Source organism: Homo sapiens, chromosome 4, assembly GCF_000001405.40.
Source record: "Homo sapiens chromosome 4, GRCh38.p14 Primary Assembly".
NCBI classification, from domain to species: Eukaryota; Metazoa; Chordata; class Mammalia; order Primates; family Hominidae; genus Homo; species Homo sapiens.
The window spans coordinates 40,939,602-40,952,280 of record NC_000004.12 but is presented as its reverse complement, the minus strand read 5'-3'; the positions used below and the strand labels follow the sequence as shown (position 1 = coordinate 40,952,280).

Genomic DNA, 12,679 nt, shown 5'->3' with positions numbered 1-12,679 from the left:
AAGTCCGGCCCTGCTGAGGGAGCCTAACTGACCTTCTTCTCCTATGAAAGTCACCATAAAATGATCTTTTGTCCTTTTTTTTTTTTTTTTTTTTTGAGACAGAGTCTCGCTCTGTCACCCAGGCTGGAATGCAGTGGTGCAATCTCGGCTCACTGCAACCTCCACCTCCTGGGTTCAAGTGATTCTCCTGCCTCAGCCTCCTTAGTAGCTGGGATTACAGGTGCCTGTCACCACACCCGGCTAATTTTTGCATTTTTGGTAGAGACAGGTTTCACTGTGTTGGCCAGGCTGGTCTCAAACTCCTGACCTCAGGTGATCCACCCCCCCTTGGCCTCTCAAAGTGCTAGTATTACAGAGATCTTTTTGCTTTGAACCATGATGATAATTTGACCCTAGAGATTCTGTAGTGAGCATTTTCCTTGGGACCTATGAAAACATGTTCTTATATTGTGACTTTAGTGACTCGAATGTGCTGCTGTAGTATTGGCTTCTTGAGACCTCCAATTTCTAGTGATGGTGATGATAACACTAACAGTGACCATCCATGCAGTGAACACGGCTGCTGCATGCCAACCTTTATTCTAAGTGTTTTATACACTACCCAGTGAGGCAGGTACTATTATGATCCCTGTTTTACAGATGTGCATCTGAAGCCCAAAGAGGTTGAGGAACTTGTCCAAGGACACTCACATAGGGAGTGGCTGAGCCACGATACGAAGGTCCCTACCGCATTGACACTTCAGTTGCCACGCAGTTGCACCAAGCCATGGCTGCACTGAGCCGTATCGCGTCTTCGCAGACTCTCCTCTGGTTTCCTGGTCTCATTGGAGCCAGCAGGCATCTTGAATGAATCCATTCTTTTTGCTTGGATTATCTTTTAGGTACTGAAAAATACCTCGACTAGGCCGGCTTTCTATTCCGGCATATCTCTGTTTAAGAAACAACTGAAACTTTTGATCTCAGAACTCCACTGAGGTATTTTTTTTTAATTGTGCAAAAAAACATACATAGAGAAACACCCATACTGTAAACATACAGCTTAACACATAATTATAAAGGGAGCGTCGATGGTCCTGCCAGCCCAGTGAAGAAATAAAGCATTTCTAATACTCCAGAAGTCCTTGAGAAACCTCTCTGTGAGCTTCACTGTCTCTCCCCCACTCCAGGTATTCATCCTCCAGTTTTTGGTGATGACTGTATCCTTGCATTTCTTTATAGTTTTACCATCTACATCTATATGCCTAAGCAATGTAGTTGAGTTCTTGGACTTGGCATGGACACTTAATATATTCTGTTTTGTCTTCCTTTTGATCAATGATATGTTTGTAAAATACATCCATATTGTTGTGTATAGCTCATTTTTGTTCATTTATTCTGCTGTAATTTATTCATTGTCTTTTTTAAATTTAATTTTAATTTTTTTAATTATTTTTTTTTTGAGACGGAGTCTTGCTCTGTCACCCAAGTTGGAGTGCAATGGCACAGTCTAGGCTCACTGCAACCTCCGCCTCCTGGGTTCAAGTGATTCTCCTGCCTCAGCATCTTGAGTAGCTGGGACTACAGGGGCATGCAACCACACTCGGCTAATTTGTGTATTTATAGAGACGGGGTTTCACCATGTTGGCCAGGCTGGTCTCAAATCCCTGACCTCGTGATCCATCCACCTCAGCCTCCCAACGTGCTAGGATAACAGCTGTGAGCCCCCACACCCGGCCAATTTTGAAAAATTTTTAGTAGACATGCATCTCCCTGTGTTACCCAGGCTGGTCTTAAACTCCTAGACTCAAGCAGTTCTCCCGCCTTGACCTCCCAATGTGCTGGGATTATAGGCATGAGCCACTGTGCCTGGCCAATTCATTCTGTTTTAAATGGTTGTCTAGGTTGTTTCAAGGTTTTGGTTATTTCAGTGCTGCTGATATGAATATGTTACCTGGTGCACATACCGAGTGTGGAATTGTTGGGTCATAGAGTAGAGATATCTTCCACTTTACTAGTTAATACTATTTTCTTTTCTAAAATGATTGTACCAAATTACCCTTCTACGAGCAGTAGTATCTACAAGATCCTGTTGTTCTACATGCCTGCCAACAATTGGTATTGTAATACTTTTTAATTTTTGCCGAGCTGACAGGTATGGAAGGAAATCTATTGTGTTGTGACTTGAGGCATTTTAAGATGCTCTGCAGGCTTTTTATTAGATTTCTGCAGTTTCTGTAAACCTTGCCTTCAGTAGCCCCCGCAGTTGGTCCGAATTCCAGTCCTCCAGGCGAGTCGCTCTGAGTTGGGTTCCCACGGTGCGTTTTAGGCTGTCCAGTGCCGAATCTCACCCCCTAAGAGGACTGTTGCACATGACACACCCAAATAGAAAAACATTCTCCAGGGCGGAGGTTTTTTAGGTATTCCCACAGCAAACTAAGAATACCACATTGTGATTTCAAAGCTCTAAGCAGATCCGTCAAAAGGGGGTGCGTGGCAGACGCTCAGTTTAAGCAAATTGCTGAGAGTCAGAAGGGCAGTGAAGCTGGCAGCCACTGTTTCCTTTCCAGTTTTCAGCCGCTTGCCTTGTCTCCAGCAAAGCTTCACTAAGTAATTTTCTGAGAACAAAAGAGATTGAAACTTTCTCCTCAAATCGCCTGGTGTTGTCGAATACTCCTGTTTTGTTTTGTTCTGCTTGTGCTCCCTCTCGTCTCGTTGGTCCACTGTGATACCGTGATAACCATCGGAGGGCGGCCATTAAGCGGCTTTGCAGTATTCTGAAAATCTTTTACAGAAGCAGCTGCTTGGTATTTCGATAACTTGACCCCACTGTTCTCTTGGCTTAGCTATGGTTTTAAACTTTATTGTAAGTAAACATTTTAAAGAAAAACTGACGCTTGTTTTCAAGGAAAATCATACATAAAGACCAATGTGTAATGACGGACAAAATGGGTGCTGCTGTGGTTGAAAAGATCAGGAAAGGTCTGGACTTCCACCTACCTGCACCACTATCTTCTTCCCCTCCCCCCGCCTTTTTTGAGACAGTCTCACTCTGTTGCCCAGACTGGAGTGCAATGGCACGATCTCAGCTTACTGCAACCTCCACCTCCCGGGTTCAAGCAATTCTGTGCCTCAGCCTCCCGAGTAGCTGGGATCACAGGTGTTTGCCACCATGCCCGACTAATTTTTGTAAAGATGGGATTTCACCATATTGGCCATGCTGGTCTCAAACTCCTGACCTTGAGTGATCTACCTGCCTCGGCCTTCCAAAGTGATGGGATTATAGGCATGAGCCACCGTGCCTGGCCTTCTTCCCCAGTTTGATAACAGTTGAAAACCACTGACTGATAAAATTAATAAAGTCCAAAGTACTTATTTAAATGTGTAATTTTTTTTTTTTTTTTTTTTTTTTTTGGAGACAGGATCTCACTTCTGTCACCCAGGCTGAAATGCAGTGGCATGATTATGGCTCCATGCAGCCTCCACTTCTTGGGTTCAGGAGATTCTCCCACATTAGGCTCTTTTTTTTTTTTTTTTTTTTTTTAAGATGGGAGTCTCACTCTGTCACCCAGATTGGAGTACAATGGCACAATCTCAGCTCACTGCAACCTCCGCCTCCTGGGTTCAAGTGATTCTCCTTCCTCAGCCTTCCGAGTAGCTGGGATTACAGGTGTCCACCACAACACCTGGCTAATTTTTGTATTTCAGTAGAGACAGGATTTCACCATGCTGACCAGTGTGGTCTTGAACTCCTGACCTCAAGTGATCTGCCCGCCTCGGCCTCCCAAAGTGCTGAGATTACAGGCATGAGCCACTGCCCCTAGCCGTCCTCAGCCTCTTGAGTAGCTGTCACTACAGGCACGTGCCAACAAGCCCGGCTAATTTTTTCTATTTTTGGTAGACACGGGGCCTCGCTGTGTCTCGAACTCCTGGACTCAAGCAGTCTGTCTGCCTCAGCTTCCTAGAGTGCTGGGATTACAGGCATGAACCACTGCGTCCAGCCTAAATGTGTAGTTCTATGTAGAAGAACAAAGCAGATTGGGCTATGAAGGTTAAACAAAATGAATTATGATGGTGCTGAGAGTCTTCACTCGGCATACTTCCTGCCTTTCCTTGTGGAACTTCTCAGTATGAAAAATAAACAAAATCTCACTCAAGATTTCTTGGTCTCCAGCCCAGTACTCTTCCTAATTTATTGTATTATATTTTTTTTTATCCATGAGGACGTTCACATATGCCATCAAGGGATAGATAAATGTTAGTAAGTCTTGGGAGTCATGAAGTTGCTCTGTTCTGTGAAATCGCATAGAACTGATTTCTTTAGAATTTCTCTTTTGCTAAGTGCCAAGTTCCAGTTCCCATCATTGAAAGACCTAATTGATTTGCTCATTTCTTCCTTCTTTATTTATTCTTTCTTTCCCTCCCTCTCTCCCTCCCTCCCATCTCTCCATCCATCCAATTTTGATTGAATACCTGCCATGCTGGATGTCGAATATGATGGTGAATAAGACAGTTATGGTATCTGCCTACCCTCACAAGGCTTAAATCCCTTAAACCAATGTGAGATAATATGAAGGGATTCTATAAATGATTGTAGACCTATTAATAATACCGTAGGTGTGCCCACTTTGCATCTGTCACCAGCACCATTGTTACCACCTATTTCTAGCAACAGAATAAACCTCCTCTTTTTATTTCAACAAAATCTCAGCGTAAGCTTAGTAAAACTAGGGTGGGTTTAATTGAAGATAAACAGTCTGATTCGTGCCATTCAGCATAAAGTTCCTCTCATGATACCTCTAGGTACCTCCTTATCAGCCCAACTTGAAAGCCACCAACCTTGGCCTCTGCCGTTGGTCTGACATGGTGTCATATTTTGATAATGTATGTAGCTATTCTTCATACACGCTAATGTCTCAGTGGTAAAGACAACTAGGCTAAATGTGTAAATTCAGGCCTCCAGTCCTCATAAACCACAGAAATGGTAACTGGCAGCTTCTTTGTATCTTTTCAGTGTCTAGTTCCAGAGCTCGCTGTCTGTGAGCCACTAGAATGGGACGAGGGAACCCACTTGCTAGGGTTTTCTCCAACTTTATCCCAAAACCTATGTATCTAACCTTATGTGTCCCAGTTGAGATGCCGAAAACAAAATAATAGCAGAAGTGACCCCTTCGTCCCCTGAAAAGGAGACAGGACAAAGAAATGTAAACACATGTTTGATTAGAGTTGTTTCTGCAAAATTTGGTTAACTTGAAATTATTTAATTATGCTTCACTCCCTGTGGGGACAGGGGGAAATTCCCAGCATAATTTGAGACTAGTGGCACTTTTGCTTCTGGCAGATTTAAATGAGGAAAGTGACTGCATGCATGCACATCCGTGGCCACAGTCTTCATCAGCCCCTTTGTTTGATTTCTCTATTTCTCACGGTGGCTCTGCTCCCGTGATGCCTGCGCACGTGATGCAGCGACACTTGCACAGAGCCAGGCCCACTCGTGTTCTCCTTTGAATTGCCGGAAAGCACTCCGGTTGCTTTTGTATGGCCACATAGGAAACAGCCTAATCCTTAGAATAAAATTGATCCCTGGGTTTAGAGCTCAAGTTTTTAAAGTTTTTCTTCCTACATACATTGATTCAGCTGCCTGTGATTCCCTTATTACCCCTCCATCTCGGTGGATGTCTCATTCTACTTCCTCTCCCCTCTGTTCTCTCTTCTCTAGCACTGTTACCCATTTCCTAGTCAACTCAAGGCCAAAAATGAGATTTTTAAAAGCCAGCAGATATTCAGTAAACTGATAAGATATGTAGAAAGGCCAGATATGATGGGAATTGTCTAGTAGACGTATTTTATTTGGCCATCGCAGTGTTTAAAGGATTATTTTCTGGAATTGGGATGACTGGACTTTGCAGGTGCTTGCCCATTTTCCAGTCACCCACCTTTGTTGTCTCTCACACTCTGCTTCACATGTTTACATCACTGGCCTGTCTGTAGAGTCAGTCTGGTCCATTGTTGACTTCCGAGGCTTTTCCAATCTGCTTTCCTTGGGAATGTTTTTTTTTTTTTTTTTTTTTTGGAGATAGAGTCTCACTCTGTCGCCCAGGCTGGAGCGCAACGGTGTGATCTCAGCTCACTGCAACCTCCGCCTCCTGGGTTGAAGCGTTTCTCCTGCCTCCACCTCCCGAGTAACTGGGACTGCAGGTGTGCGCCACCATGCCCAGCTAATTTTGCATTTTTAGTAGAGACAGGCTTTCACCACATTGGTCAGGCTGGTCTCAAACTCCTGACCTCAGGTGATCCACCCACCTCGGCCTCCCGAATTGCTGGGATTATAGGTGTGAACCACCACGCCCGGCCTTCCTTGGGAATCTTTTGCGTGCAATTAGAATTCTAGAGTATTGGCCAGGCACAGTGGCTCACGCCTGTAGTCCCAGCACTTTGGGAGGCCAAGGTTGGCGGATCACGAGGTCAGGAGATGGAGACCATCCTGGCTAACATGGTGAAACCTCGTCTCTATTAAAAATACAAAAAGCCTGGCGTGGTGGCAAGCGCCTGTAGTCCCAGCTACTTGGGAGGCTGAGGCAGGAGAATGGTGTGAACCCGGGAGGTGGAGCTTGCAGTGAGCCGGGATCGCACCACTGCACTCCAGCCTGGGTGACAGAGCAAGACTCCATCTTGAAAAAAAAGAATTCTAGAGTATTATAAAAGACTACTACTATTGCTATTTTGTAGGTGTCCCAATCAAATGAGAGAGATTCTTAAAGCACATGAAAGATATAAATACAGCACTCATTTACAGAAAGCATTTTAGGAAAATTAAGAGTTATAGCTGGGAATGACATGATGCCAACCAATAAATCTTAATAATTGACAAAAGCATTCAGTACACTGTGTATAACTATGTGAATTTTGTTTGGGAAATTGATTCTGGTTTGGAGCTTTAGCTTGTTCATAGGGTTCTTAGAGCTATAGGATGACTTGATAGTGAGGATTTTGTGTCCCTGTTCTCAGGTGTTAGCCTTCCTTTCCAATTCTTATACTTGTTTCCATATTACCTGTTTTACCAAGTACAGCCACACACATCAGTATGGATGGATTTCACAAACATACCAGGAAGAACTAATCATTTGGACTATGGACACGTCTGCCTTTGGGGTTCACCTGACGAATAGTGCTGACATTCTTTTAATAAAATTCTCTCTTTCTCCCCCCGCCCCGCCCCCCAATTTTTCAGCAGATATATGGAGTGATCACTCATTTCAGACTGATCCAGATTTGCCGCCTGGCTGGAAAAGAGTCAGTGACATTGCCGGGACCTATTATTGGCACATCCCAACAGGAACGACTCAGTGGGAACGGCCCGTCTCCATCCCAGCAGATCTCCAGGGTTCTAGGAAAGGGTCACTTAGTTCTGTAACGCCATCTCCCACCCCAGAGAACGAGGTAAAACGGAGTGTCTTTTTACCAGCTTAGTAGAATAGATGTAACTTGTGGTTTCTCTTTACACTGGTTGCTTCTGCCCCAACAGGTCATCAAGGTAAGCTTTTTGATTATTGTGCATGTTGCATTTGAAATCTCAGTAATGCTTCCTCTTAGTAAATAGTGTTAATATCCATCTTTCAGGGATGTTTTTATTTTTTAATGGCTTTTGGTCTCTTGAAACAGCATTCCAGGTACAGAAAGCAAGAGGGGCTGATTAATGAGAAGTGGTTAAGATTCCCTAGGGCTCACTGAGGCAGTACTTTACTCTGCAGGTACCATTGCATGGTGCTGGCTCCATAAAATATTTACACACAGAAGAACATCTCTTGGCCAGACGTATTATAATTACTGCGTATCTTATTAGCCTTGGGCTCGTTTGATAGCGTGGAGGGAATGTCTGCAAGAATAACCCTGAGAGCCCTCAGATGCTTAATTTCTATTTTAAAAAATCTGTTTATTTAGTAGAAGTGACATTATTTTAGAAACGATTAACAGCATAAATTTCTGCTGTCCCTGAGGAAGAAATCTGGATGTTTAAACAAAGAATTGAGGCATTAAAAAAATGTCATTGTGGTGTTTATTAGTATAAGGATCCCCACAGTGAACTTTTGTGAATCCCGAAAGCAAACTGTTCAAGAGAATTAGAGTTGGAGAAGGTCACAATTAAGTAATGACTTCTTTTGACCCCTGACACCCAGGCATTTCTGCCCCTTTCTGACCACAGTCCTTGGTTCTTTGAACAAGCCCATCTTCTTTTGCCTTGAGGCATGAGGGCATTAGAACTACTGTGGAAGCTTCTTTATCTGTTTGCAATAGATATCACCCTTCCTGTTTTTAAAAGTAGACAATGTCTTATTTCCTAAATCTTTGATTATGTACTTGTTCTTCTCTGGGAGGTGGTAAGCCTTATATTCTCATCACATTCCTGCTGTTAGAGGGCTTTGGCCTCTCATTTACCCAGCCTGGACCTCAGATTCTCCAACTTGAAAGTGATGGGCTGGGGCAGCCATACCCTCATTGGTAGGCAAGGACTTTGGTTTACCTGTGCCATGCCGTGGTCATCAGGCACATGCTTCAGGACTGCTGAACCCCATATAGGGCTTTGTTGCTTATCACTGGGCAGTTTTAACAACTTTTTATTGAAGCATAATAATTCCTACTCCCTGGGCAATTTTTGTTCAGCCTTTTGTTCATCTTGCATTAGGTGTGCTGGGGGATAAAGATGAACCAACACCGTCTCAGCCCTCAAGGAGTTTGGTATGGAGAGGAGTCCTCTTCCTGTCCCCACCCAGTTGGATCCTGGGATTCCCCCTGTACCACAGTGGGGGCCTCCTAGAAGCTGAGCCGGCCAGGATCAATCTCTGTTCTCACTAAGGCACAGACGTGCTCTCCCTTTCTTATTTGTACACCTTTTCTCTTGGCATCTCAGTTGGCAAGAATCTTTCTCCATTCCTCTATTCCAAGCCTATAACCATTTTCATTTCCCTATTCCAAACCTTTAGCCATCTTCCCAGCCAGAGAGTGCCCTATAGCCAGAGAACACCAGGGTGTGAAGGCACCATTTGGTGCCAGCATTCATATGTTACAGACAGGGACACTGAGGTTGTAGAGAGGCCAGTGACCGGTGGCAGCTCTGGGCCTAGAGCTCAGAGTTCCTGAATCCTCCCAGATCCTAGGTCAGAGGTCTTCTCACTTAGCTCCCCTGGCTTTGAGATTTCAACCTGCTCTGCTTCCTCACTGTCCCAGATTGGGGAGATTGGACTGACTTTGAGAGACAGTTTTTGTGCCATGAATCTCCAGTCCTCTGCATCTGGCAGTGGTGAAGTCCTTTGTAAAGGCTGCCTGCAGAGGCCCAGGCGGGGGTGTGTGGACTCCAAGGAGGGCATCCTGAGGCTTACGGAGCTCAGAGTTGTATTTCTTTGATTAACACGTTAGCCTTTTGTTTCCGTGATTTGGGCAGAAGTCTTGGGAAGAATGCAGCACAGGTGGGTGCTGGCTCTGGGGAAAACTGCCAGGTAGCAGAGTGCATCTCTCCCCTTCCTGGAGCCCATTTTTGCCTACTCTTTCCCCTCTCTGTGCCTGCATCGTACCCCTTGCTAACTACTGCCCAGGGCCCCTCCCAGGCTCAGAAGGGCACACCCTTGGCACCTCCTGCCCTGGAGTTCAGTGTTCCCCCCCAACAGCCCCGCTGCTCGGCCTCCTCACTGCTCTTAAAAATCTGTTGTGGTTTTCAGGGTATTTTCCTAGACATCATTTCATCTGATCTTCTCAGGAGTCTCCTGAGGCAGAAAAGTCAGCTGGTATGTTCTCCATTTAAGGAAAGAGGTAACTGAGACTCAATGAGTTAAGTGTCCCTCAGCTGGGGTTAGGGTGGGATGTATCCAGTTCCCTGACTCCAGACCCCAGGACTCTAGAGCCCGAGGACTCTGAGAATCTCCACCTTCTATCAGTTCCATTCCTCTCTTCTGCTGCTCACTGTACCATTTGTATTGACAAAGGCTTATCCCTCCGTGGAAGCTGGTTAAAGGTGCATATTTTTAGAAGTTTCAGAGACAGGGACTCATATCCAGCACTCTCAGAAAGCAACAGGGCAAAAGTCTTCAGGCTGACCTTTCAGTTGTTCCCATAATACACGTGTTTCTCCCCCTACATAAGGTCCTCCGTTAAGTCAAAGAACCAAGCAGATTTAAAAGGAAATAAATAAGTCATAGAGGCAAAGAGTTGAGCAGATAGAAGAGGAATAGGAGAACTGGGGAAAAGACTTAGCCTGCCACATACGCTGATGTGCAGACCCTGTCACCAATATTAAACCAGAGGCACTAAGAGAAATCAAATATTTACAGTCCAGCCTAATGCCTTAACTCTTTACTCCCCATAAAACCCTTATGTGGTCAGGTGCTGCAGCTCACGCCTGTAATCCCAGCTCTTTGGGAGGCCTAGGCAGGAGAATCACTTGAGACCAGGAGTTGAGGAGCAGCCTGGACAACATAGCAAGACCCCATCTCTACAAAAAAAAAAAGATTTTAAATTAGCCAGGTGTGGTGGTATGTGCCTGTAGCCCAAGCTACTTAGGAGGCTGAGGCAGGAAGATCACTTGAACCCAGAAATTTGAGGCTGCAGGTGAGCTATGATCACACCATAGCACTCCAGCCTGGATAACAGGGTAAAACCCTGTCTCTTAAAACAAACAAACAAACAAAAAACACACCAAAATCCTTATGTATCTGGTACTATAGTTGTCTTTCTCATTTTACATTTGACACTGAGAGACAGAGAGGTTGAGGAGTTTGGGCAAGACACACAGCTAATACATGGTAGAGTCAAGCTTGAGTTCAGGTCTCCTGGCCCCTATTTCCACCCCGAACTTCACAATATCATATGTCTGGGAGGCTTGGAGACTCTTGAATCCCTTTAACTCACCCTAAGGGAGGCTATGTCACATATGGAGCCTTCTAGAAAATGACCTTTCTTAATATCATTGTCTCAGGTGCTAATGACAGTTGAAGAGAAATGATTATTTTTCTAACACCATTTCTTTGGTTCCTAAATAGAATCTATTTCAACCAATTTCAAAGCATGAGAAGAGAGCAAAATCTTAAGGGACAGAAGAAGCTTGTAATATGTTGTGTTAGAAATGCATATTTTATTCAGCTTTTTTCTGAGCTGGCTTCAAAAAAAAAAAAAGAATCAAATAACTAAGTGCTAAATCTGTTGACTAGGCTTCACAAAAGTTTAGAACTGAAGGCTTCCTTACAGTTTGAAAATTTTACATTTCACATTCCAAAGTTCACTTGGGAGGTGTTAAGCGCAGTGGATAATGTTTCCGCTGCATATGCCAGCAGTATTTTTGAAAGTTTATAAACTGGCCAGGAAGCATTTGCTGCTGAAATTTAGCACGTGGTGCTCCTCCCCGCCCAAACCATTTATTTGTTCCAAATTACCTTGCAGACTGCTTGGATATTGAATTTTAGAGAGAACGGAGAGCCACACAAAATATTTTTATGAATATCCATTGGCTTGTGGCCAAGTCTTCCCATCTTTTCAAATGAAGGTGTTTTGGTCTTCCTACAGAAGAAAGTATGGAGAAGGCGGGTCTGAAGCTCGAGAAAATGAATTGTTGCTCAAACTGTGGTTTCCTCTTGGTCCTAAATCAGCCTGTTCTTATGAAGTGCTCACAGCCTCACGGGCGTCATGAGAGCCTAACCCCCCCAGGAGGGTGCCCAGTGGAATACCTTAAGCCTGTGTATTCTCATATACATGTAGAAATAAGATGACAACATAAAAGGGCCGTTCTGCCGTCATTTTTCTGAACTTCTTCACTCAGTCAAGTAATCATGACATTGAGTGCTGGAAGGAATCTTGGAGCAGGGCCTGTTGAATGTGCAGGCCGTATTTCTCAGCCAGTGAGCCGAGGAATGGTGCCAGGAGAACCTCTGGGGATCACAGAATGGGATGGGGCCTGGGAACCTTTGCATAAGCTCTCCAAGTGATTTACGCTGAGTAAGTAGGACAGCAGGTCCTCTAATGACTATAGCCTCCCTATTTTTATTTGCATGTCCCTTCCTCAAAAATTATTTGGCCTCACCCCATTGTCTCCCCAGAGCTACTGCTCTTACCCCATTGCTTTGAAAGCCCTGTATTCTATCATGTCCCATTGTAGTGTTGTTACCTGTGGTATGTCACTTTCCCACTAGGAAGCTCCTTGGTGGCCGGGACCTGTTCTCCTCATCCTGTGCACAGGGCCCAGTACATGACGACATTCATTAACTATTTGCTGAATGAAAAAATAAATCAGCTGCATAGCCAAGGAAGCTGTTAGTTGATCTGTTGCAATGACAAAGCCAGCCCTAGAGCCCTCATTCTCCTGGCCCCCTCTACATTGTAGTTTCTGCATTGCACTGCTGCTCACAGAGACTGATTTAATTGCACAAACCAGTTTACTAGTTTGATTTTTTTTTAACTTCTCTGAATTATGTTTGTGTGATTAAACCATAATGCTGTAATCTTCTGATAGGGTGGGCAGATGGCTTGAGCCCAGGACTTTCTCTACTAAAAATACAAAATTTAGCTGGCATGGTGATGCATGCCCTGTAGTCCCAGCAACTTGAGAGGCTGAGGTGAGAGGATCAGTTGAGCTCAGGAGGTGGAGGTTGCAGTGAGATCATGCCACTGCACTCCAGCCTTGGTGACAGAGCAAGGCCCTGTCTTAAAAAGAAAGAAAAAC

At 44.5% G+C, this 12,679-nt stretch overlaps 1 protein-coding gene across 51 annotated transcripts in view; it reads left to right on the top strand.

Annotated features, from left to right (window-relative positions):
* The window catches only part of APBB2 (amyloid beta precursor protein binding family B member 2), a 404,516-nt gene that overhangs the window by 262,262 nt on the left and 129,575 nt on the right, over positions 1-12,679 (top strand). For 27 of the 51 annotated variants that reach the window (XM_047450187.1, XM_047450175.1, XM_047450164.1 and 24 more), the window contains one exon: positions 7,208-7,416. In XM_047450187.1, the coding sequence (XP_047306143.1) occupies positions 7,208-7,416 (209 nt within the window). The remainder of the gene's footprint in view (positions 1-7,207; positions 7,417-12,679) is intronic. The other 24 variants (XM_047450191.1, XM_047450181.1, XM_047450169.1 and 21 more) reach the window with 1 other exon arrangement.